Here is a 27,232-nt window from a genome sequence, read left to right on the forward strand (position 1 = left end):
AGATCCCATTCCTGAAGAAAGAAATGTTGAATCAGGAAAGGAGAAATCAATCTGATACAACAGTGACTGAACACTTCTATCTAACTTTTCAGTCTGCTGGAAAGATTAAAGGCTTTAAAAATAATTACTCTCATTATACATATTACTCCTTGTCTTAAATGAGTTAAAGAGTTTGAAGAAGAATAGAAACAGTTCTGAAAAAGTAAGTCTATCATAATCAAGTATGCTTTATAAGGCACTCAGAATGGTGACCAGAACACAGTAAGCACCTAATAAATGATAGTGTTATTTTCATATTTTTAGTAATTTATTATTTAATAAGTCATTGTGATTCCTCACAAAGTCCTTATGTAGCAGAGTTGAGCTATCTGCCCAAGATCACAGAGCCCATGGCAGAGAGGGGCAGGAATCAAAGCTGGAAGCTGGGCAGTCTGACTGCATGCTATACTCTTGCCACAGTGCTTTTGTTTCCCAAGTGTGGCTAACGGGAGAAACGTAACTAAGGAAAAAAGAGTATTTTATCACTGAGACACTGTTATAATAGCAGAGGCAAAGAGAGGCCAATGGATTTGCCAATAAATAATAAAGCAAGACTTTTTTTGCCTGTGTGTGGGGTGGGGAAGGGGAGGGGAGGGGGAAAATATAACATACACACATGCCAGAGAAACCTTCATCTTTTGTTGGTCACTAAGATACAGCTTTGAACACATAACAAAACAGAGAAGGAGAGGACTATGAAACAAGAGCACTTGCATCACCTATAACAGGGGGCTCAACTGACAGGCTGGGCTCTCGCTGCGTCCTTGTGAGCCAGCTGCCATGATGACACCCGCTCTCCGCCCGCTGTGCCAGGGTTCCCAGGAGAGCAGATGTGGCTGCTGTGCATGTTCCCCGACTCCACTTAGAAACCTTACTCCTTAGTCCCTTTTTCATTAACGAGGGAGCTCGAAACTTTGGGGGAAAAAAGCACTGTACAATCTGATTAAAAAATAGCCAGGGAAGGACACACTACAAAATAACCGGCCTGTAAGATCAAACACGTCAATGTCATTCATGAAACAAACTGATCCAGACTTTTAAAATGTGACAACTGAATGTAACACATGACTACAGCTGAATATCATCATGTAATCTGGGATTTTCCTTTGCTATAAAGAACATTATAAGGATAGCTGGCAAATGTGAATGAGAGCTGTAGATTAGGTAACAGCAATGCATCAATGGTTACCTTCTAATTTTTTAATATGGCATTGTAGGGTTATGTAAGAAACTATTTTTAGGAAATGCATACCAAAGTATTTAGGGATGACTACGATTTACTCTCAAGCACGTCAGGAAGAAATACATAACATAAATGTCATTATATAGGTGTGTGTATATGTACACAAATGTGTGTGTATATGAGAGAGAAAGAGAAGGATAAAACAAATGTTAACATTTGAGGAGTCTGGGTGAAACAGATATGGGAATTCCTGCAACTTTTTTTAAGTCCAAAATTATGTTAAGAAGTTAAAAGAAAAATAAAAACTGGCTTTTTTTTTTTTTTTTTTTGAGACGGAGTCTCACTCCGTGGCCCAGGCTGGAGCACAGTGGCGCAATCTCAGCTCACTGCAAGCTCCGCCTCCCAGGTTCAAACAATTCTCCTGCCTCAGCCTCCCAAGTAACTGGGACTACAGGTGTGTGCCACCACGCCCAGCTAATTTTTTTGTATTTTTAGTAGAGACGGGGTCTCACCATGTTGGCCAGGGTGATCTCGTCCTGACCTCAGGTGATCCGCCTGCCTCAGCCTCCCAAAGTGCTGGGATTACAGGCATGAGCAACTGCGCCCGGCCAAAGCTGGCTATCTTATACTTATAAATTCAGCCAATGCTACCAGTTTAGTCAATGCCTTTCGATATAAGAAAATTCTAGATTTGTCATCCAATACTGGAAAGCAGCTATAGATCTATAAGAGTGGTAACAGAGAGGAAAAAAACCCACAGCCAGAGGCCTATATCCACCAAAAACCCTCTTCTAATTCTAACAGTACTCCTAACTCCTTACAGGCACAACCCATTAGTTGCCTTTATGACGCTGCCCCATGTAAAGTCTTGCATTGGTCTCCGGTTATTCAGCAACAGGTCAGGCCTGGACAACCCAGTTAAGATGAACCTCCCTCTCAATACATCTAAAGGTATCTGGCATAGCAACTGAAGCATATTTTGCTGCCCACCAGGTGTCTAACTTAAACTTCCCAAACTAGAGACTGGGAATAGCAGGGCAACTCTGAAGGTGGCACAAAGGAGTCCCAAGTCACAAAGGCAGCTAGAGTCCTCACATGCAAACAAAATACCAAGAAATGATAAAAAAGGAAGGTGACAGACCCACAGTCCAGGACACTTCCCTCCAAACCATCAAAAACTAAGCTACAGGTAGATCCCTTCAGCCTCAGTTTATTCCTCTGAACTGGAGAGATGCTCGAGAAACTAAACCAATGAGCTCTGAGGAGCTGAAAGTGATCCTTTTAATGTGAATCAGAGATAAAAAGTTAGGATTTATGAGGGAGGATTGTTGGTATCCTAAGGAAAATAAACCTAGTTTTACAGAAATAAGGATGCCTTGACTCTCCTGTCCAGAGCCTGTAGCCATTCACCACCAGTTACACAAAATGGAGAAAATACATATATTTCCACAACGATCTCACAGTTTCACTCTGCATGCTAGAAGAAGTCTCCGTCTGGGGTTCATTTATTCCAATTCAGAGACTATCTGTTTAAAAGATTCAAACTCAATCAGTTTAGCTATTGTCCAAACCAATAAAAAAATTTTTTTTTAACTTGAAATCTAGTAGACAAAGTGGTGAAAAAAAGAACAACTGAACTGACAAATTCAAGACAGGCAGGAACATATCTACAGCTCCTAGCTCTCAAATTTGGGGTTACTTTTACTCTACTACCAAACTAACAAGTGCTCCACCAAGATATTAATTTCATCACCTGCAATGAACAATGGTTGCCAAGAATGTAGAAGGACAGAGTAAAAAGAAAGTTCAGCCTGGATGATGGCACGTAATTCACTACCCTGGTGGCATCCCTAAAACTCACTGCACTTGACCTATATAAAAATATTATCTGAGCAATGTTATTTCATCACAGAAAACTTTTCCTCTAATCTTTCAAGTTTCATCACCCCAATTACATGATCTACTCCTTGAGGGTAACTGTTTACTCTCAGGAGTTAAAAAAAATTATTTAAAAAGGCAAGGCATAAATTCAAAATGATAATCAGATACTATCTCACACAAGTCAGGATAGCTGCTATCAAAAAAACCAGAAAAGAAGTGTTGGCAAGGATGTGGAGAAACAGCCACACTTGTACACTGCAGTCAGAATGTAAAATGGTATAGCCACTATGGAAAGTTCCTCAAAACATTAATCATAGAATTACCTTATGATCCAGCAATTCCACTTCTGGGTCTATACCCAAAAGAAGTGAAGCAGGGTCTTCAGGAGATATTTGTACACTCATATTCAAAGCAGCATTATTCACAATAGCTAAAACATGGAAGCAACCCATCCACTGATGGATGAATGGCTAACAAAATGTGGTATATACATACAATGGAAAATTATGTAGCCTTAAAATGGAAGGAAATTCTGATGCATGCAACAGTGATAAACTTGGAGGACATTATGCTGTGCAAAATAATCCAGCCACAAAAGGATAAATACTGTACAATTCCACTTATATGAGATACCTGGAGTAGTCAAATTCATAGAAACAGTAAGACGGTTGTTGCCAGGAAATGGGGGAGGGAGAAATAGGTAGTTACTGTTTAATGGATAGAGTTTCCATTTTACAAGATGAAGAGTTATGGAGATGGACGGCAGTGATGGTTGCACAACATTACCCACTGAACTGTACACTTAAGAATGGTTAAGATGGTAAATTTTATGTTATTTTATTTTATTTTTTTTTAGACGAGTTTCACTTTTGTTGCCCAGGCTGGAGTGCAATGGTGCAATCTCGGCCAACTGCAACCTCTGCCTCCCGGGTTCAAGCAATTCTCCTGCCTTAGCTTCCTGAGTAGCTGGGATTACAGGCACCCGCCACCATGGCCAACTAATTTTTTGTATTTTTAGTAGAGACGGAGTTTCACCAGGTTGGCCAGGCTGGTCTCGAACTCCTGACGTCAGGTGATCTGCCCACCTCGGCCTACCAAAGGGCTGGGATTACAGGCGTGAGGCACCGCGCCTAGCCTATGTTACATGTATTTTAACACAATTTTTTTTTAAAGGCAAGGCATAGAGCAGACCCTTTGAATCTCATTAGGAGAACACTACAACCCTTTCTACTATTGGTTCTGCCTCTAACATCACTCGCATGACCCAAATGTAATATTGTTATTACTACTATACTTTATTGATCTCTCAGGCCAGGCACTGTTTTAAGCACATTTAACCGTCTTAGATGAGCACTATTAACAGTTTTACTTGAGGAAGGACACCAAGGCACAGAGAACTTAAGTAACTGTTTGACGTCACAGAGCGTCTACAGTTGGAGCTAACACCTGAAACCAGGCAGACCACTTCCTAGGCCATACTCTCTCAGGAAAGAAAAGCATTTTGTAGATTACTAAAACATGACAATCAATCTCTCTACCCATCTATCTATAGTTTATCTGACTTTCCTAACAATCCTGTGACTTAAGCAGGAAATGTATGCTTATTTCATAGATGAGAAAACAGTCAAGTGGGTATCAATGAAGAAACTAGTTCTGGAACTCAAGCCTTCTGCCCTCTCATTTACAGCACTTCCTACACTACACCACCCTGATGATGAGATGGTAGATCCTGAAATTAAACTCTAGAAACTATCTGGAGCCCTGCTTTATACATGAAAATGGGCACACTATATCAAGATATTCTTTTCACATGTGGTTTGCTCTCAAATAAACTCATATATTAAAGGGATAAAACTATTAAACTATTAATCCCGAAATCTGCCAAGTGATCATGCTGAGACTTGGAGGAACTCTATGGGTTAAAAAAAAAAAAAACCATAAAAACACTATTTACTGAGGCTTCAAGAGAATAAAGCAGCATTTCATTGAAGCATTAAACATGCTGCTGTGGATACTAATCATAGAGAACGCCTGCCTGGGTCCCTATAGCCCTCGAGGACTCTTGGATTCCACACTTCAACTAGCAACTTACCAAAGTCAAACACTTCCTTTGAGAAAAATAACTCCAAAAATCATTAGAAACGAATTAACTTCATTTGACTCCTGGTGAGTGTTCCTCAATTCTTCCAGTACAGATCAGGACATCACAAAGTCAAACATCCAGCTAATGTCCTAATTATGCTCCTCGCATCTACCAAGACTTCATGACAGGTACACAAGGTCCTACACCGAGTGCTTCCACCCCCTGACTACATGACGCTGAGCATATACATCCTTTCTCTGGGTCTTGGTTGATTTGTAAAAAGGGCCTGGGTTCTAATGGTTTCTAGGTTTCTAAGTGCCCGCATTCTGCGATTCTGTTTGACACAGGTTAACTACACTCTTAATCTGTGACTCCCCAGTACAATGCTGGAAACGGCCTAGTTCACATATAATTTTTAACATTATTTTTAATGTTAGCAATACTTTAGTGATACTGTTTGCACTACTTTTATACCATGAGACATTAGTGAAAATCAGAATGTACCAAAAACTTAGATAAATACCACTAATGTGTTGTTTCAGGAAGATGTCTTCATACACATGCCTAAATTTAGGAGGGTAAAAAACCTACCACAGGAGAAATAAAGAGGAAATAAAGAGGAAAGCACCATTCTGATATAATATAAAGATCACCAGCTCACGATGAAGCTACTAACAAAGATGTATAACCAATGCCCATCCTTTTAACACTACCTACTGACAACACAGAACTTAAAAAATATCTGCAAGTATGCTAAACATGCTTAAAGAGCAAAATTTTAATACCACCACCCTTTGTTTAAAGCTAAATAATTAATATCTAGGGGAAAATGGATAGTCAATCTGTTTATAAAATAAGACCTCTAAGAGGAAGCCTTATATGGGAATTTCCAAGTCATTTTGCACTGGTTCAAAATGCTGTTTTTTAAAAATAGTGTTGCTCTTAACTTTTATTCAAGAAATAGCAGTTTAATTTGAAAGATCCCAAGGACCCCAAGAAGTACTGAAATCTACACACACAGGCAGTATTCATAAAATGCTAAAAGTTGTCAAAGGTGGCCACTTTTACTTCTGTGTACACTTTTCTAAGAGGTACTACAAAGGAAATGAAGAACTGATTTTTCAAAATCAAAAGATGAAACTTTTGGCACTAATGTAGCTTTCTGCCCTGCCATATAAACGCTTACCATTTTCCTCCTCCTTTTTCTCTTTTCTCCTCAAAACAATTTGTCAAAAAAAGATACAACCTCTCTATTGATTGGAAAGTTTTAAGATTTTAGCCACAGAATACCACTTGGGGATAGACAGTAAAATTTTGCTCACCAGTTTCTAAATTCCTAAAACTTTTTAGCAGCTCATTTTTGATCAATACCTGGAAATCCACTAATGCAAATTAAATGATATAAAATTCCTCTGTAGTCACTCATCATCCACCCATTCTCACATATATTGCAAAGAACTGATACGAAACGTTACTGACTACAAAAGTAAGACCACTTGTCCTCAAGAAAGCCACCCTCTATCTTGGTCACTATGTGCATAATACAATCCTGCAGCTAAAATACAGCAGGCTTTTACAAAAAGGAAGGCTGTTCTAGATTCTTCCAAGTTATGAGGAGCTGGTAGTCTGTTAAGGACCTAATTTCCTATGACCAAGCACCACAATAGTAGCTATTAGTCATAACTTCAACTTATTTGAATAAAGAAACACAACTTTGGCTAAAGACCTTGTTACCCTGTTCTTTTTAAAAAGTAATACTTTTAATTCACAAAACAACAAAACCACAATAATGCCATTAGTGATATATTACCCCATCCTTCAGACAGGAACAAAATCTGGATAGAAATGCCACCGGGCTTTAAAAAACATAAAGAAGTGAGTCTAATTTTCACTAGTGGTTTAGGCTGCACTGTGAAAACAAACAACATCAAGAAGAAACAAGAAACATTTCATTAACTAGGGGCCTCCCAAGTCTGATTCCAGGACACTGGTACCTGTTTCTGTGCTCAACGTTCAGATCCTACAATCCAGTGCTAAAATGAACAGTAAGAGATATGAAGAAATAGGAAACAGGAGTTCTGGCTAATGGTCATTCAACATAATGACATTAGGTAAGTTTCTTTGTGCCTAGGTCTCCCATTTGTAAAGATAACCTGCAGCAGCTTACATACTGGGTTTCCTAACATACGCCAAGAATCTTTAAAGTAGGGGGAAAGCTAGAGCCTATAAAGCTCTTTGGATGATGAAGCAGCAATGCGATGCTCTCCTAAATGAACATGCTGGTATTTATACACACACCTGAATGCTGTTCCTTTAAAAAAAAAAAAGCACCACAGAAAATCATACACTTATTCTAAAAATGCTGCCATAGCACAAAAGTTCAGACATTTTTCTGGAATTGCTTTAGAGTCAGCAATTCATTCTTCTGAATATACAGCAGTGGAATATGGATATTCCTAATTTCAATTTACGTTTTGCTTATTTCTTAGATTTGAAGCAGCTTATTGAAAACTTATGCTTATGTACATAAAGCTAATGTATGGCTTTCTAAGGTAATTTTCCTGTGACTTAAAAAAAAAAAAAACCACCTTGTGACTTCATAAATGCAATTCATATTTAGGGAAGAGAGGAGTCACACTCAGTATCTTCAACATCAGTTCCTCACTTCTCAGCCCCAGTGTGTCTGAGAACACAAATAACTTTGCTTTTTCTCTTTACTGCAATTCTGCTCCTTTATCACTAGGCTAGGATGTTTTGAGTGATGGAGTTAATCATTTTTTCTGAAAGATGATTACCAGAAAGCATAAGCCTGACCCCTCACATTAAACAGGGATTACCTATACCAGCTGCCCTAGCACACAGAAACAGCTTTTCTATACCACAGCTTTTCTAGTCCACAGAACCTCTGCAAAAGGGCCACAATGGAAATCACATGTATGCAAAGTGCTTACATCACTCTTCGGTCTTCTCAATCTCTCACTAAATGACTTGTATCCACATGAAATGATCCGGCAATAACGAGGACCCATCACAGATTCTAAGAACTACTTTTTACTATACCCTATAAAACATTATTAAAGCTACACAATCAGTTACCAGAAGGAAAATTTAGCCGACCCTTCATGCTAATTAAAATCATCTTCATCAAAGAGATAACGTCATATCATTATCAAATTCATTGCTAAACCATATATTAAGATAGTTTTGTTCCAATTATTACTTTAGTAATTATACATGAACTCTTCTATATTTTTACTAGCTTATAAGCAACAATGGCTCTCTGGCTTCCCAACAAGGCTTCTCAGCACTACTGGTGCACTGTATCCATACCACCTGAAACTTTACTGCCAAAGGAAAAAAACAAGTGATTATCCGCTAAGGAATTTCCTTCCACTTGGGCTTGAAATACATTTCTGAAGTCGCTCCAATTTTTTCCAACTTTCTTTCTGGAATAACATACAGCATGCACCAAGAGTAACAAACACAGTGCTCAGGGAGCCCTTAAATTGAGAGTGGCTTTTCTGTCTTTTGATTACCTATTTATTTTCTAACAAACGGAGCCCTTTTGGAATTTTTGCTTTAGGGAATTTACATTTTAGAACAAACACTTTACTGAACTTAGATTTGTGATGTCTGCACATTTTCTTGAAAGTTCATGGGAAAATGGGGTGGAAAAAGAAGTAATGAAGGGACATCAGATAAATAAAATTTGAGCGTCGGCTGGGCACAGTGGCTCACGCCTCTAATCCCAGCAACTATAGGAGGCCTGCAAGGAGTCCTTTTGGAGGACTGCTTGAGCTCAGGAGCTTAAGACCAGCCTGGGCAACATGACCAGACCCTGACTCTACAAAAAAATTTTAAAAATAGCTGGGCGTGGTGGCATGCACCTGTAGTCCCAGCTACTTGGGAGGCTGAGATGGATCACTGGAGCCCAGGAGTTGAAGGCTGCAGTGAACTATGATCTGCACTCCAGCCTGGGTGACAGAGTGAGACTCTGACTCTAAACAAATAAATTAAATTAAATTCAAGCTTGCATTGCCCATTATAGAATGTGACTGGGGTACCTTACAAACTTTTGCCCTGTGGGGAGGAAAATGTTACATACCACTCATAGGACACTCACCTTCAGGATTTTTACAACCACTCTCTCATTGTTGGTGATATTAATGGCCTCAAATACTTCACTATATTTTCCCCGACCAAGTTTTCGAACCAGTTGGTAATCATCTTGATTACTGTAAAAGGAAGACACACACATAAATGCCAGGACTGGGGGTTAACCAAGCCTATGCCCACTGTACACGTCATTCAGCCGCTTCCACCAGGCAAACACTTGGAAGTGTCTATACATCACGTCACAACTCATTCCCTAAATGAAAGCCACGACATAATCTTGGCTCCCTTCACTCTGCAGAGCTCCTAACCTAATTGGTCTCTCCTAACTTGGGAAGATGGGGCAGGAAGGCAACGCTCTGAGCCAATCCAGAGGGGCGAGCAAAGCACCCGTCCTGAAGGCCTAGAGGGTGCCCCCTGTGCCCCGCGGCTCCCCAGCACCTGCTTCTCGTTTCACATCTTCAAGGTAGACAATGCCTGTTTTAAAAATCTGGACGTCTTTAAGAAATTTCCTCCCACCACCTCATCTCAGAAAACCTAAAAGGCAGGGCATTTTAATAGCTCCAAAGGACAGCTGTTGACTTCCCACCCCAGTGGAAACCCAGAAGTGTGAGGAAGGGCAGCTCCCTCACTTCCACCCGGCGTCGATCCCTGGACCCCACACTTCTCCCCGAGTAAAAAAGCATTCCTTGGGGGAAAGGGGTGCGCAAAGCGGGGAGAAAGGGACGAAACGGGGGTAAAGGGGAGGGAAGAGGAAGACGAGGACATGTGCGAGAGCGGGACCTCTGCCTCCCTGCGGGCCCGCGGAGGGGTCGGCGGGAGACACCACCGGGCCCGAGTGCGGTTCGCAGGGGGTGGCCGGGCGGGGGCAGGGATCAGCGGGCCCGGCGGGGGGCGGCGACGGCTTTACCCCCAGCTCGGGACGTGAGCCTCGTAGTCCCAGTACTCGCGGCTCCTCAGACTGTTCACCTCGGCGTAGACCCGGGCCCTGCTGCCCGCGGCCGGGCCGGGCATGGCGGGCGGGACCGGGGGGCGGCGCGGGGCGCAGAGGGTGGCGGCGGCGGCGCGGCGGGGGACGCGGGGCGTCGGGCGGAGGAGGCAGCGGGCCGCCGGGCGCTGGAGGAGGAGGAGGAGGAGCGCGGCGGCGGGCGGCCGCGCCAGGCCGGGCCCGCGGGGGCGGGCGGGCTGGGGGCGCGGGGGGCGCCGGCCGAGCCGGCCCGGCCCTGGAGCGGCCGGCGGGGCGGCGGGGCGGGCGGCGCTCGCGCTCCGCGGCGGTCTCCGCTCGGCTCGCGGCCCCCAGGAGGCGGCGGCGGCGGCACCGGCAGCGGCAGCCACCGGCCGGGAAAGGGGCAGCGGCGGCGGCAGCGGAGAAGAAGGAGGAGAGGAGGAGGAGGCGGAGGAAACCCGGAAAAGGGGCCGCGCTCACTGGGAGCGGCCGCCGCCCGGCCTGGGGCCGCCCAGGCTCACAGCGCCCCCTGGAGCGCGGGGGGACCCGCCGGGCGGTGCCGGCCCCGCCCCGGCCCCGCCCCGGCACGCCCCGCCGCCTACCTCGCGCCCTCCGCCACCCTCGCCCTCCCGCCGCCACAGGTCGGACTGTCCAAATCGCCTCACCCTCGGGCTGGCTTGACTTCACGCCACAGGAGCCCCCCCTTCCACTGGCCGTTGCCCTAGAGCCCTCGCCCGCGACTCCCGACCCTTTCACTGTCCTTGGAGACCCTATCCCCAGCCCTGCACTCACCCAGCTTTTACCCACCCAACACATCCCATACTGACCCTATTCTGACCCTCCTGTCACCCAAACTGTCAAGTCCCTCCCCAGGGCCTCACTCAAACCTCAGAACCTCCCCCACCTCAATACTTCTCCCTTCCCCCGAGACATACCCCTCCTTCCCCCTCTGGACCCTGCCCTGTTAGGGTAGACTCCTCAGTCCCCAAGGCTTCCTACCCCCGTCATTCAGAGTGCTCCTCACAAAACCTTTCTACACTTCCCCCAAATGCCCTTCCAGAGCCTTCCCTGAATATCCACTTTGGTCACTTGGTTAAGCTGGCATTGACCAGGTTGTGCCACTGCAAAGTTACAATTTTTCCCTTTGTGATTAATAAGTCATTTGTGGGGAGAGACTTTGAGAGTGTAAATCTCCTGTTTGTGTTTAGGAGGAGGGAGAGCAGGAGAATTGCAAATCCGACCTGAAGGGACAGGCTGGGTTGGGGATGTGCCCAGAGTAGGTGGTCAACTGAGCTGGCCTGGCTTCCAGTGCTGCCTGCAGCCTTGAACACCCTTCTCCTTTGATCTTCTAGGCCTTTCTTCTGTCTTCCTTTCCCATCCCTCATCCTTTATCGACAGCACCTCTGCACCCAGTACAGGTTGCTTTCATTCCAGTCCCTTTTCACATTCTGTTTTCTGGATGAAACCCTGGGCCTTCCTGCTTGACACAGCTAAGAGCACAGTCTGTGGAGTCAGATCTATCCAGCACTGCTACTTAGAAGCTGTGTGACCTTAGGGCAATTACTCAACCTCTCTGTGTCACAGATTCTACAGCATAAAACCAGTAATAACGCTCACTTCACAGGGCTGCAAGGAGAATTAAACAAGGTAAACCATGTGAAACACTTAGGATGGTGTTCACTATTAGGATAGCATGTGTTCAATATGATTATTTCCAGGCCTAGGGCCTTTCTCTGCTCATTCCTCCCTCCCTGAGACCACCGTGCATCCGTCTTTTGGTTCCTTCTATCCTCCAAGCTTAACTAGGAGCCACCCCCAACCCCTCCACCCCACCTTCCCAAGGGTGTCTCCTTTTTCCTATTCAAATTTCACCTTTTTCTTTATTAGTAGTATTTTTTTAGAAATAGGGTGTCTCTATATTGCCCAGGCTGGAGTGCAGTGGCTATTCACAGGCATGATCCCACTACTGATCCGAACAGGAGTTTTGACCTGCTGTTTGCCACCTGGCAACCTGGTGGTCCTCCAGCCCCAGGAGGTCATCATAGTTGATGCCAAACTTAGTGTGGACACCTGATTGGCATTGCACACTACAGCCCAGAACTCCTGGGCTCAAACGATCTTCCCACCCCAGCCTCCTGAGGAGTTGGGACTACAGGCATGCCTCCAGCTCAAGTCTCAGCTTAAAGATCACTTTCTCTAGAGTTGATACTTCTCTATCTCAGCACCCTATCCACGTCCTTCATCAAACTGCATATCTTGTCATTATTTGTTTCCTGGGTTATTGTCTGTCCCCTCCTTTGTAAAAACAGCACAAGAGCAAGGACAGAGTGTGGGCGCTCACCACTGACTCTCCCAGCATTTGCCACAGTCAGAGACCTTCAGTAAATACAGTGCTACCCCACAGATGACTTAGGAATTACCAAGGGGAAACGAGGTCACCACCTTACCCATGGTCCAAACTTCTCATCAGTAGGGAACCAACTGATCCTCTGATGTGATGCACTGAGAAGGGACACCTCCCCCATGTGGTCCTCCTGCCAAAACATTTAACCTGAATCTAATGATAAGGACACCATCAGACAAATCCAAGCTGGGCGACATTCTGCCAAACAGCTAGCCTGAGTTCTTCAAAAAGTCAATGTCACTAGGAGAAAGAAAACCAAACGAAACCCTAGATTCGTATTCTTGTTACTGAAGACTTAGAGACATAATTAGATGAAGTGTATGATTCTGAATTAGAGTCTGGATTTTTTTTTAAAGTAGAAAGGAAAGGAGGGAAAGAGAAAGAATACAGCTCATATTGGGCTGGTGCAAAAGTTATTGAAATTCAATTGAAAGTAATGGCGAAAACCGCAGTTACTTTTGCACCAACCTAATAGAAGGTTACTGCAGGGGAAATTTGAATATAGGATGTATATTACACAATGTTAATGTATATTACACAACGTTATATTGTATCAATGTTAAAGTTTGTGAGTATGATCATTGTATTTAGTTATGCAGGAGAATCCCATAATTTTAGGAGTTACATGCCAAGTGTGTAGAGATGAAGAATCAATATTTGCAACTTAGTCTCAAATTGTTCTCCAGGAAAATGTGGGTTTCTGAGAGCATAAGCATGCATAGAGTGGGGAGGAATTGGGGGAAAATTTTGATAATTAGTGAATGTAGTTGAACAGTACATGAGCTTGCAATTTTTTGGTAGAATTTGAAAATTTTCAAAATAAAAACTAGAAAAAAAAATTAATGGAAAAAGTGGACTTTGGAATTTAATTCCTGAACCTGCAAACCTTTCTAAATCTCTTTCACTCTAGAAGACATAAATATCCTCAAGCTCTTAATGCAGCTTTAGGATTTGTTTCTGACAAGTCCCTGTGAACTAGACCAGACCAGAGATTCTTAATGCCAGTCCTTGGATGAATTTCCCCAGTTCTGGGAACCCCTGACACAATATGCAGAATTTGTGGGTTTGTGTGTGTGTGTGTGTGTGTGCATGTGCGTGTGTGTGTGTGTCCATTCTTTCCTTAGCATACATCAGATTCTCAAAGGAGGCCATGACCCAAAAATGATTCCAAACCACTGGTTTAACTACTATGTCCAACCTCAGCTGGGGCCTCATTCCTCACCTCCACCCTCGCCCACCTCTGACCCCACCCACCCTCCGTGCACCTTCCTCTCATCCCTCACCACATAGCCCACACCCATCTCACGTAACCTGATCCCACACCTGCGGGATGCCTGAGGATTCACCCACACACCACTCTGGTGCAACACACTCCTGGATTTGGCTGACACCATACTAACTCAGCCCTAAAACCTGCAGTCAGTCCACCCACAGCCAAATGGAATATTTCTGTGGTTTGTTGGGAGGTTGGGTGGGCACCCCATGGAATTGGCAGAGACCCCTGCCTCTCATTTCTGCCCACCCGCCATGAAACTGGCGTGGCTTGAGTTAAGGTGGGCAATTGGAAATGGTACTCATGCAACCCTCACCGAAGGAGTCTCACTTGGATATGAAGAGGGATAGGGTGGTGACTCTGCGGGGGAGGTGCCAGGCAGGGAGGGTCCGTGAATTAGAAGTGACTTCCCCTCATTACTCTGTGTGTGCAGTTTGAGGGTGAGTATAATTCAGTGGTGCAACACAAGGGAATGAAAGAGGGTATTTTGAATCAAATAACCCAACACTTTCATACCACCTCCAATGCCCCCAAATTCTATCCAAACACCAAAAATCCAAAAAACAAAAGCACATTTTAAAATCCCACTGAAGGCCACCTATCTTCACAAGCCTACTTTCAAAACATTTGAGAAGTTTATAGGCTTTTATCCTGCATCGATACTTCTCAAGAACCTAGCCTAACAAAATAATGAAAATTATGAACAAAGAATTATTGATCATGATGGCAATTTGTGTGTTCATCACACACATAATGATTCTACATCATTGAATCCCGCCAAAACCGTACATGGCTAAAAACCATTGAATTTAGACTTTAAATGGGTGGATTTATGTTATGTGAATTTTATCTCAACATAGCTGTTTTTAGAAATCTATAAGGTTGGAGCTCTTGTAAGGGTCCCCTTTGTGCGGAGGAGGAAACCAAGACTCCAATGACAATGACCAACTGAGGCAGAGCCTGGATTTGAACTCTGATCTTTCTGACCACCACGTCACTTTCCTTAACCCCTTTCTGATTCAGTATGTCATGCAAAGGCCCACAGACGTTCCGCATGATAATCATTATCTTTAATCATGAAAATGTAAAGTGATGTAAATATCACAAGCTGGGGGACCAGCTAAATAAATTGTGATACATTCCCTACAGTGAAACTATTAGGCGTTACTAAAAAGCATGATTATGAGGAATTTTTAGCAATGGACAAATTTTAGGACACAAGATTTTTAAATAGGAGAGCTGGGTATGGTGGTTCACGCCTGTAATCCCAGCACTTTGGGAGGCCGAGGTGGAAGGATCTCTTGAGGCCAGGAGTTTGAAATCAGCCTGGGCAACACTGAGAGACCCCAACTCTACAATAAAATTTAAAAAATTAGCTGGGCATGTTGGTGCAAGCCTTAGCTACTCAGGAGGCTGAAACAGATGGATTGTTTGAGCCCAGGAGTTCGAGGCTGCAGTAAGCTATGGTCATGCCATTGCACTCCAGCCTGAATCACAGAGCAAGCTCCTATCTCCAAAAATAAATAGATAAATAAATAAATACGTGTTAAAAATTTGTGGCCAGGTGTGGTGGTTCACGCCTGTAATCCCAGCACTTTGGGAGGCCGAGATGGGTGGATCACCTGAGGCCAAAATGGTGAAACCCCATCTCTATTAAAAATACAAAAAATTAGCTGGGCATGGTGGAAGCACGCCTGTAACCCCAGCTACTTGGGAGGCTGAGGCAGAAGAATCACTTGAGCCTGGGAGGCAGAGGTTGCAGTGAGCTGAGATTGCACCATTGCACTCCAGCCTGGGCAACAAGAGCGAAACTCCGTCCCAAAAAGAAAAGTTGTACAAGTAATTGTGGTAAGCAGAATAACATCCTTCACCCACCTCAAAGATACACACTTATGGCCGGGCACAGTGGCTCATGCCTGTAATCCCAGCACTTTGGGATGCTGAGGTGGGTGGATCACCTGAAGCCAGGAGTTTGAGACCAGCCTGGACAACATAGTGAAACCCTGTCTCTACTAAAAATACAAAAATTTGCTGAGTGTGGTGGCATGCACCTGTAATCCCAGCTACTCAGGAAGCTGAGGCAGGAGAATTGTTTGAACCCGGGAGGTGGAGGTTGTAGTGAGCCGAGATTGTGCCATTGCACTCCAGCCTGGGCAACAGAATGAGGCTCCATTTCAAAAAAAAAAAGATATACACTTACTCTTCCCCAGAATCTGTAAATATGTTACCGTATATGGAAAAAGAAACTTTGCAGATGTGCTTAAATTAAGGATTTTGAGATAGAAAATCATCACGGAGCATCCAGGTTGATTAAATATACTCACCATGGTCCGTATAAAGTGAAAGAGAGAGGCAGGATGTCAGAGAAGTAGATGTATTGATGAAGCCGTGGTCAGAATGATGTGATTGCTGGCTTTGAAGACGGAAGGGGGGTGGCGCCAAGAAACATAGACCACCTCTAGAAGCTGAAAAAGGCAAGAAAACGGATCCTCCCCTAGAGGAGCACTGTAGCCCTGCCAACACTTTGATTGTAGTCCAACGAGACCCGTTTAGAATAAATTTGTGTTGCTTAAAGCCGCTAAGTTTGTGGCAATTTGCTACAGCAGCAATGGGAAACTCCTGCAGTAGTGCATGGTTAATAACAAAGACTGTCTCCTTTGATGAAAACTTTACTCAGGCTCCTGAGTCCTTTATAATAAGCTTGATCTTGGACTTCCCTCTCGTCCTTGTTGAATCTACTTTGAGCAAGAATGCTGCTAATCAGTTGAGCAAAAAATCACTACCTTTGCCATCTGATCACCTTCAGTATCCTATCACCCTGGCCTGCCTTCCGCAATAACTCTGTCAAGTCAATTTAGCCAGAAACCCCTTGTCCCTGATGTGTCCTCTTAGTAACTTTCTGTCCGCTGACCCCGACTCTGTTCCTTAGTTATAAATACCCACGTGTTCTTGTTGGAGTAGCTGTTGAGTATGGTCTCTGTCACTCACAGCAAAACCCCTTGCAGTGGTCCCTATACCTGTCGCCATGACCCTCATTTGGATAAAGTCTGCCTTACCCTCTTTAACAAAAGTGCCTCGAATAATTTTTTCTTTAACATTAATATTTTTCAAGAAATTCAAGAGTCAGTCAGATAAAAAGTGAAACTTGTCCTTCTTTGCCTTCCACATTTCCACAGTTCGGTGTGTATCCTTCCAGGCCTTTTTCTATGCAATAAGAATGGATGATACAACCTATTATTTTGTTTTGCTTTGCTTTGTTTCAAAGCAGGACACCAGTGCATACCTATAGTTTTTTTGCTTGTTTGTTTGTTTTGTTTGTTTGTTTGTTTTTTGAGACGGAGTCTCGTTCTGTTGCCCAGGCTGGAGTGCATTGGCACAATCTTGGCTCACTGCAACCTCCGCCTCCTGGATTCAAGCGAGCCTCCTGCCTCAGCCTCCCAAGTAGCTGGGACTACAGGAGCCTGCCACCATGCGCGGCTAATTTTTGTATTTTTAGTAGAGACGGGGTTTTCACCACATTGGCCAGGCTGGTCTTGAACGCCTGACCTCAGGTGATCTGCCAGCCTCAGCCTCCCAAAGTGCTGGAATTACAGGCATGAGCCACCGCGCCCGGCCTATACCTACACTTAGATAAATTTTCAGGTATGTAACAAATGCATACAAAAAGAACTGGAAGGAAATGCGTTACATGCTTTGGGGTCTTGGAAGCATAGATTTTACTTTCATAATTGGGGGGAATCAAACCAAGGTTTTCAGGCTGTTGACCATCCTAATCCTCCCCTCAAGAACTTGTGGGTTAATGGGGGCTTTACACCAGCTAGGAAAGGACAGAGGGTAGGGACGTAGGGTCTTGAGTTCTCTCTGTAATCCAAGGAGTTTATGGGGAATTGCTAAGAGAAAAACTTTAGACAAATTAAATTTAGCAGAGTTTAATTGAGGAAAGAACGATTCTAGAATCAGGGAGCCCTTAGAACCAGAATAGGCATGGAGAACTCTGACCTGACCGTGGTCAGGCAACATTTATGGACAGAAAACAAATGAGGTACACAGGCAGTTGGGTTGGTTACAGCTCAGCTCTTGCCTTATTTGAACGTGGTCTGATCAGTGGGGCGCCTGTGATTGACTGAAGCTTGGCTGCTGTGATTGGCTGAGACTCAGCTGTTTGTTACAATAGTAGACTCCTAAGTTAGGATTTCGGTCGGTTTACCTGCAAGGTAGGTTGCAGTTCATTATATAAAGACTCAAGTACGGAGATGTCCGCAGGCCAAATTTAGTTTAATTTACCAGAGTGCTGGACTCTTACCTTGGTGTTTCTTTCAGGCACCAGACAGGTGAATAAAATATATACATTAAGGCCAAATTGGCTGCACTCCCCCTGGGAACATGCGCACATAAATTCCTTAGGAATATCACTTTCTTATTCTTTTTTGTCCTAGTCATCCTTACCGTGTGACCCACTCTGTCCTCCAACCAGAGAATGCCCCTGAGGGGGATGGTGGGAATGTGCCAGAGCCTGTCCTGGGCAAGAGAGCCAGAGGAATGGGAATTTTCTGCTGGTGCTCCTGTGGGTGACCCCTCTTATTCAGTCTTGCCTGGCTGGAGAAAAGGGCACATATTTTTTTCATTTGGGGGGTGGGGGGTGCCCACCCCTCACCCCCCAAATGAAGCTCAGTGAACTGAAACTCTTCTAATATTCTCAGGGAAGGATGAATTAATCTCTTTAGACTAAAATTTAACTAACAGCTATTGCAAAGGGATTTAAATCTTAAATAGGAAAAGGACTAAGAAGTCTGGTGAATGCAGCCTTAATCCTGGAGTTTCAAGAGATACAAAAGTGGAGGGGCTACTTTGAAGGGCAAACAGTACTTTCCTGGTGGACACACCCACTTCTGCCTGGTTGGAGTGGGCATTTGGAGGGGAGTGGGCTGACGCTGCAGTGACAGTCTCCCATAGACCCTGGCAAAGCCATCAAACTTCAAAAACACTCATCATTTTCCTGCCAAACTGCTCTTCCATAGTATCTCTTTATTTTATTTATGTATTTATCTATCTATTTATTTTTATGAGACAGGATCTTGCTCTGTCACCCAGGCTGGAGTGCAGTAGCTCGATCATGGCTCACTGCAGCCTCAATCTCCCAGACTCAAGTGATCCTCCCACCTCAGCCTCCCAAGTAACTGAGACTACAGGTGCACATCATCATGCCCAGCCAATTTATGCAGAGACAGTTTTGCCATGTTGCCCGGGCTGGTCTCAAACTCCTGGGCTCAAGTGATCCTCTTGCTTTGGCCTCCCAAAGTGCTGGTATTATAGGCATGAGCCTCTGCACCCTGCCCACAGTATCTCTTAGCCCAACCAAATTTCCCAGAATCACCAACAGCTCCCACATCCCCCCCACCACTCCCCAACCCCAACCAAGTGCAACTGGCTTCCTCTCCAGATGGCCACTCCCATCTACACTCTTGTCTAGGTGCCCACAGCCTTTGTCCTGAGTTAAGCCAGCTCCTCCCTGGATTTTCCCCCGGGGGCCTTTCCTACAGTGATCTCTGGGCTTTTAGACTCCGCACACACTAAACCAGAGGTCCTCAACCTAGGTCAGTAGTGAGAACTCAGTGGGTTCATAAATTCAGACACAAAAAAATTATGTCATTATTCACCAATCTCTAAATAAAATTTAGCATTTCCTCTCTCCCATTATGGATATAGTAAAAAAAAAAAAAAGCAATACAATACAAAACAAAACATGGCAGTATTAGCAGTACCTGTGACTTTGTCACCAGTGGAAATCAGACATGTGCTAGTCACATTACAGTTGCTGTTATTTTGAAGCAGGAATATTTGCTCCCCAGAAAGGCTAGCTGCTCTGATTGTTGCAGGCAAAAAAAACGTGGAGGAATCCTCTGGAGTTTGGACTTTTCCTCCTGTGTTCCAGCCCCTACTCTTCCTCCCCTTAGGCCTTCTGTTCAGAAGACACTGAGCCTGGGATTTGGTGACATTTACTATCCCCCGACAGACACTAGCTTCTCTATCCTGAAGAAAAACTAAATGAAACTAAATGAAGTTGCACATGCAAGCTCTACTTTTTGTTTTAGGAAGCACACCATTCTGGATGCTTGCAGAAGTCTTCCTGTTTGACTAGAGGATGACATAGAAACCCTGGGTCCTAGTCCTGCCTGTTCCCAAGCCAGTGAGGAAACTCCCGGCTGAATAAAGCCATTTCTTTAACCCAGTGTCTGAGGGGTTTTGTCCGGGGCTCATCCTGCTACATTAGTGATGGGCCCTTTGTCAGCTCTGATGCCCATGAGAGCACAGAGTATAGCAGAAGTTCCCATGGATGATCAGAAAACACAATCAATCCCAAGAAGATCAAAACTCTACATGCCTAAGGTATGATCAATCCCTCCATAGAGAAAGTGGAAGAGACACAGATGACAGTAGAGAAAGACAATTAGGAAAAGACGGCAGTGGTTGCCACCACACTGGACATCAGTGTCATTGAGAGATTCATCTTTCAGTGAGGCAGGAGCTTGTCCTGATTAGCAGAATTGTGTCATTCTGTCAACACCTATACATTATGACCATCTAATCCTTAGGGTCTATCCTAATTTTGTCATTTGCCCAAATAATGTCCTTTAGAGGAGGGGTCCCTAACCCCAGGGCTGTGGACCAGTACTAGTCCATGGCCTGTTAGGAACCAGGCTGCACAGCAGGAGGTGAGCGGTAGGTGAGCAAACATTACCACCTAAGTTCTGCCTCCTGTCAGATCATGGTGCATTAGATTCTCATAGGAACTCAAACCCTACTGTGAACTGCACAAGCAAGGGACCTAGGATGCATGCTCATTATGGGAATTTTTTTTTTTGAGATGGAGTCTCGCTCTGTCATCCAGGCTGGAGTGCAGTGGCGTGATCTCAGCTCACTGCAACTGCCGCCTCCCAGATTCAAGCGATTCTGCTGCCTCAGCCTCTCTAGTAGCTGGGATTACAGGTGTGCACCACCATGCTCAGCTAATTTTTGTATTATTAGTAGAGACGAGGTTTCACCATGTTGGCCAGGCTGGTCTCGAACTCCTGACCTCAGGTGATCCACCCACCTCGGCCTCCCAAAGTGCTGGGATTATAGGCATGAGTTACCACGCCCAGCCTTCTTAAGGGAATCTAACTAATGCCTGATGATCTGAGGTGGAATATTTCCATCCCAAAATCATCCCCCCACCCCCAAATTGTCTTCTACAAAACCAGTCCCTGGTGCCAAAAAGGTTGGGGACCACTGCTTTAGAGCAAAAAGATCCCCTCAGTAACCACGTGCAGCATTTAGTGGTCATTTTTAAAAATCTCTTTCCATTTATGACAGTTTTTTAGTGTCTTTTTGAAGATTATTTGTGAGTTATTTTGTGACATATTCCTGAATGGGGTTATCTGATGTTTCTTCATAATTAGATTCAGATTATGCATCTCTGGCAGAAATATCACAGAAATAAAGCTGTGTTCTTCTCATTGCATCCTACCAGGTGGCATACAGTTTTCTTGGTCCCATTACTGAAGATATTAACTTCAATCAGTTGATTATCAGGGTAGTGTATGCCAGATTTCTTTACTGTAAAGTGACTCTTTTTAAGCTTTTTTTTTTTTTTTTTTTTTTTTTTGAGACAGAATCTCATACTGTCACCCGGGCTGGAGTGCAGTGGTGTGATCTCAGCTCACTGCAACCTCCGCCTCCCAGGTTCAAGCAACTCTCCTGCCTCAGCCTCTCAAGTAGCTGGGATTACAGGTGCCTGCCACCACACCCAGCTAATTTTTTTGTATTTTTAGTAGAGACGGGGTTTCACCATGTTGGCCAGGCTGGTCTCAAACTCCTGACCTTGTGATCTGCCCTCCTCAGGGGATATTAAATGTCACCAAATCCCAAAGTGCTGGGATTACAGGCGTGACCCACTGTGCCTGGCCCTTTTTATGTTTTTAATGAATTCATACTTGGGACTGAGGTATTTTCTTTGTTTAAATTTTTTTTATTAAAAAAAATTCTGACTACAAAGACCTAGAAAAGAAGGGTTAAGGCATTTTGAAAACTATGTAATTATCCTAGTCCTCATCAAACTTTCTATTTAATTATTTATATTATTGGTTTTTTGTTGTTGTTGTTTGCTTTTTTTTTTTTTTTTTTTTTTTTTTTTGAGATGGAGTCTCGCTCTGTCGCCCAGGCTGGAGTGCAGTGGCGCAATCTTGGCTCACTGCAAGCTCTGCCTCCCGGATTCACACCATTCTCCTACCTCAGCCTCCCAAGTAGCTGGGACTACAGGTGCCCGCCACCATGCCTGGTTAATTTTTTTGTATTTTGTTAGTGGAGACGGGGTTTCACCGTGTTAGCCAGGATGGTCTCAATCTCCTGACCTCGTGATCCGCCCTCCTTGGCCTCCCAAAGTGGGGGATTACAGGCGTGAGCCACGGCACCCAGCCTTTTGTTTGTTTTCTGAGACAGAGACTTGCTCTGTTGCCCAGCCTGGAGTGCAGTGACACGATCACTGCTCACTACAGCCTTGACCTCCCAAGCTCAAGCGATCCTCCCACCTCAGCCTCCCAAGTAGCTGGAACCCCAGGCGCTTGCCACTATGCCCGGCTAAATTTTTAAAAGTTGTTTGTAGCTATGGGGGTCTTTGTATGTTGCACAGGCTGGTCTTGAACTCCCGGGCTCAAGTAATCCACCCACCTTGTCCTCCCAAAGTGCTGGGACTGCAGAGGTGAGCCACCAGGCCCAGCAGTTATTTATATTATTATGGACTCATGGATATCTATTTTATTCAATGAGTTATAATCCATTATTATCATGAGTTATTTTGATGCTCAAATCATTTCTATTTGCTGGTGGGAGCCCCTTCCAACTGGCTCCTGAATCCCTTTTACCTGTCCTATCGTCCTCTGATCGCTTTCTTGTTTTTGGCACAAAATTTGCTCCTGGTTCATCTTCTACTTTTCCTGTTCCAGCCCTGGAATCAACCATTGCTCAAAGGGATCCTGATTCCTTTTAGTGGAGACTAGTGTTTAGAAGCCAACATCAGGGCATGAGTGTGCTCATTGTTATTGAACTATTGCTGCTCCCAGGCTGAGCTAGAGAATACATGTATGTATACATTCAATAACATATACATGCAGACACACATTTATACATTTATTTATTTCTGTATTTATTTGTGTATATTGAAAACTATGAGTACATTTCATGCCTCCAATTCCAATCTAACACCACAGAACTCATTCTAGTTTTCTGTCTATATTTGTAATCCTCTTTTCTGACAGTGAGCAAGCTGGCAATACAGGGCTCTTTGAGATAGAGGAGGCAGTGTTAAGAAAGGTCTCTCTGAGAAGGTGACATTTAAGCTGAGACTTGAAGAAGTGAAGGCATCAGCAAGGCAGATTCTGGGGGAAGAATGTTCTAGGGAGAACACGATAGTAATTGCAATGGCCCTGCAAGAAGCATGCTGGTGTGTTGGAGGAAAAGCAGGTGTCCTGTGGCTGAGCCAGTAGGCAAGTAATGTCAGCCAGGTAAGAGGGATGGTTCAAGCACCTTATTGTAAGGACTACAGTAGTGACCAAGATAGGAAGCCATTGGCACATGTTGAATGCAGAAGAGATATTGCTTTATAAAGGATTGCTCTAACTGCAAATGTGGAAGCAGAGTCACCAGCCAGGAGACCTGCAGGAAACCAGGAAAGTGAGGAGGATGGTTGGGAAGGTGGTGAGAAATGCTCAGATTCGGGAATCATATTTTAGGGGAAGCTAACAAGATGTGGCATGTGGGGTTTGAGAGGTAGGTGGTGGCACATGGTGCTATGTAAGTGTTTGTTAAATAAATAAAATAGAAAAATTGTATGCAAAGCACTTAGCACAATGTGTCACATAGAATAAATGAATCATGACCACTGTCCATTGATGAATGAAGATGAAAACCTTCCCTGAGCCCCACTGACCCAATTCTGGCCCCATCTTGGCATCCTGAAATGTCACCTCTTGAGCACTGCTGCCCCTTTTCTACCAGAGCTCCCTCATATCCTGTTCCCACCCTTCCCAATGACTCAAAACTCCCACTTCCTCTGAGTCCTGTCCCTGCAGGGTGTGGGTTGGCATCTATCTGATAAGCTAATTCACAATAAGGTATGGACTTCTTGCAAGATGCTTACCCCTCCCAGAAGGATTCACACTTTAAAAAGGTGGCAACTTATTTACTTACCTCTGGGAATGTGGTGGAATCTCTGAGTATGGCAGGGTGGTGAAGGAGGTCATTTTGTTTTGGGCAGGCCTCAAATGACACCATAGGGAGACCTGGGACCTCCTTGAGGGGGCCCAGCCCAGGGCCAGCCTGCATTCCTCTGTCTACTGCCTCACGTTACAAACCATGGCACTTACTGCTGCTATTTACTGCAAGAACTTGATCCTGATGTGGCCAAAAGAGCATCTTTCTAGATTCTCTCCCCACGGTGGGCAGGGCTTGGTGTAGCGGCCATACCCCTTTGAGACCCCCCACCTGTGGGGTGGCTCAGAAAGGCAGTCTTCACTCATTGATCAGACTTAATCTATGAATGGAAATTTATAACCTGATGCCATGGTGCTGGGTACCTCCGATTGTGTGCAAAATTGGTGTCTGTGCGCAAAATTGGTGTCTGTGCAAGATTGGTTTAAGAAGCAAGGCCACAAAACCACAATGAGATACCACTTCTAGCCCACTAGGATGGCTGTAATAAAAAAGATAGATAGTAACAAGTGTTAACAAGATGTGGAGAAATTAGAACCCTCATACATTCAGGGCTGGTGGGGATGCAAAATGGTGCAGCCACTTTGGAAAACAGCTTGGTAGTTCCTAGAAAGATTAAACACAGTTACCGCATGAGCCAGAAACTTCATGCCTAGGTATATTATACTCAAGAGAAATTAAAACATAAGTCCCCTCCAAAACTTGTAATTAATGTTTATAGCAGGATTTTTCAAAATAGCCAAGGAGTGAAAATAACTCATATGCCCGCCCATCAACTAATTAATGGATACATGAAACCTGGTATATCTATCCTATAGACTATTATATGATAATAAAATTGTACACTTTGGTATGTGAATTATATCTCCATGAAAGTTATATATTCATAAAAATGAAAGCAAGTAAGAAGGGAAGAAGGAAGAAAGGAAGGCAGGGAGGGAGACAGAGGGGGAGAGAAGGATGAAGGAAGGAGGAAGAAAGGAAAGAATAAGGAGGAAGGAGGGGCCAGTGTAGTGGCTCACGCCTGTAATCTCAGCACTTGGAGGCTGAGGTGGGCAGATCACTTGAGATCAGGAGTTCAAGACCAGCCTGGACAACATGGTGAAACCCCGTCTCTACTAAACATACAAAAATCAGCTGGGCGTTGGGGTATGCACCTGTAATCCCAGCTATTCGGGAGGCTGAGGCATGAGAATTGCTTGAACCCAGGAGGCAGATGTTGTGGTGAGCTGAGATTGTGCCACTGCACTCCAGCCTGGGTGACAGAGCCAGAGTCCACCAAAAAAAAAAAAAAGAAAGAAAGAAAGAGGGAGGAGAGTGAGGGGAGGGAGGGAAGAAAGAAGGAGGAAGAAAAGAAAGGAAGGGAGAGGAGGAAGAAAGGGAGGGAGGAAATGAGGGAAGAGGGGAAGAAAGAAGGAAGGAAAAAAGGGAAGTTTCAAGAAAAGAAAGATAGGAAGGAAGGGAGTGAGGGAGGAAAGAAAAAGAGGAAGGGAAGGAGGGAAGGAGAGAAGGGAGGGAGGGAGGGATGGGAGGGAAGGAAAGGAAAGGTGGGAGGGAGGGAGAGAGAAATGAAAAGGAGGGAAGGAAAGAAGGAAGGAAGGAAAGAAAAAGGAAGGAAGGAAGGAAGGCCATATGGAAGAGGAAGCCAGGCCAGGTGCAGTAACTAATTGGAAATACCCAGGTCCCTGGGGACTGGTCTCACCTTCTTAGAGTGTGGGTAGAGGAGAGGAAGATGAGAGATGACAAGGAACCACAGAAATCTTGTCCACTTTCCCTTAGGGAAATACTGTGCAGAGTGTGCTTGGGGAACTATGGGATATTGAGAAAAATGATCCCAAACGTGGCAAATAAGGCAAGAAGAAGACTGTGCGTCACTTCAGTGCATGCTGGGCATTGCTTAACAGACCACTCCTGGATTGTTTCATAATCTGAGGGACGTACCTTTGTTTGACTTCAACTTTACTGTTGACTGGGGCCCAGATTCTATAAAGTTATGTGCTAATTTGTAGAATTTTGTTTGATAGAGATGCAAATGATTTTTGTCTAGTAGAAAAGAGAACCCCAAAGGTTACCGTTTTATTTGCCCTGTTGGCTATTAATCAGTTTTGTCTCTAACCTAACAAACTGATTTTAGTGTGTCTTTCTTGATGGACTATATAACCCTTTTCCCTCTAATTCTCTTTTGCACTAATCTTTACCATACTGCTGGGTCCCCCATTAACAAGTTATATGTATCTTGGTGCATGCTCACTTGTATAACAGTTGCATTTTTAATGTTCTTAAAGTTATACTTTGAAAGGGAACAGGAGTTATTTGCTGTATTTCAAAAATGATACCAATAATCATGCCTGTAATCCCAGCACTTTGGGAGGCCGAGGCAGGTGGATCACTTGAGGTCAGGAGTTCGAGACCAGCCTGGCCAACATGGTGAAACCTCGTCTCTACTAAAAATACAAAAATTGGCTGGGCATGGTGGCGGGCGCCTGTAATCCCAGCTACTTGGGAGGCTGAGGCAGGAGAATCACATGAACCTGGGACGTGGACATGGAGGTCACAGTGAGCCGAGATCACACCACTGCACTCCAGCCTGAATGACAGAGTGCGACTATGTCTCAAAAAAAAGATACCAATAAGTGATGGCCTTAATCACCATAGACACCAGAACTTAAGCTATAAGGTGGAGACACCTGGATGCACAAATGAGAAGGGATTGCAAAATACTCTGGGAACTTAAAGCAGGGGGAGACATTACAATGTTAGGACCTGGAGAAGAAGGGTTTTCCTTAAAATTTTATACAAATGTGTGTGTGTGTATACATGGATGCTTACATTCTACACAGAAGAAGAGAGAGAAAAAAACGAAAAGGCTACAAAAATAATCACCTAGCCAGGTGCGGTGGCATGTGCCTATAGTCCCAGCTACTTGAGAGGCTGAGGTGGGAGAATTGCTTGAGGCCAGGAGTTTGAGGTTATAGTGTGCCATGATTGCACTTGTGAATAGCCACTGCCCTTCAGCTTGGGCAACATGGAAAGACCCCATCTCTTAAAAAATAAGAATAATGGGG

The 27,232-nt window shown here is 44.3% G+C and overlaps 1 protein-coding gene and 1 pseudogene across 3 annotated transcripts in view, besides 3 other annotated features; both read right to left on the reverse strand.

Moving 5' to 3' along the window:
• CSNK2A2 (casein kinase 2 alpha 2) overlaps nucleotides 1-10,683 on the reverse strand; it is a 40,200-nt gene extending 29,517 nt beyond the window's left edge. For 2 of the 3 annotated variants that reach the window (NM_001896.4, XM_047433626.1), the window contains exons 1-2: nucleotides 10,210-10,683; nucleotides 9,310-9,421 (exon numbers count right to left, since the gene is read on the reverse strand). In NM_001896.4, coding sequence (NP_001887.1) covers nucleotides 9,310-9,421; nucleotides 10,210-10,313 — 216 coding nt within the window. In that variant the 5' untranslated portion in view covers nucleotides 10,314-10,683. Of the gene's footprint in view, nucleotides 1-9,309; nucleotides 9,486-10,209 lie in introns of those variants that run through there. The other variant, XM_005255801.4, reaches the window with a different exon arrangement.
• Nucleotides 10,117-10,186: a silencer, noted in NCBI's record as "silent region_7545". NCBI's record gives its function as "represses an Ori minimal core promoter by ATAC-STARR-seq in GM12878 lymphoblastoid cells {active_cell/tissue: GM12878}" and the evidence as "EXISTENCE:reporter gene assay evidence [ECO:0000049][PMID:35858748]".
• Nucleotides 10,587-10,856: a silencer, noted in NCBI's record as "silent region_7546". NCBI's record gives its function as "represses an Ori minimal core promoter by ATAC-STARR-seq in GM12878 lymphoblastoid cells {active_cell/tissue: GM12878}" and the evidence as "EXISTENCE:reporter gene assay evidence [ECO:0000049][PMID:35858748]".
• Nucleotides 10,907-11,036: a silencer, noted in NCBI's record as "silent region_7547". NCBI's record gives its function as "represses an Ori minimal core promoter by ATAC-STARR-seq in GM12878 lymphoblastoid cells {active_cell/tissue: GM12878}" and the evidence as "EXISTENCE:reporter gene assay evidence [ECO:0000049][PMID:35858748]".
• On the reverse strand, nucleotides 12,145-12,406 carry RN7SL645P (RNA, 7SL, cytoplasmic 645, pseudogene; annotated as a pseudogene).

Source organism: Homo sapiens, chromosome 16, assembly GCF_000001405.40.
Source record: "Homo sapiens chromosome 16, GRCh38.p14 Primary Assembly".
NCBI lineage: Eukaryota > Metazoa > Chordata > Mammalia > Primates > Hominidae > Homo > Homo sapiens.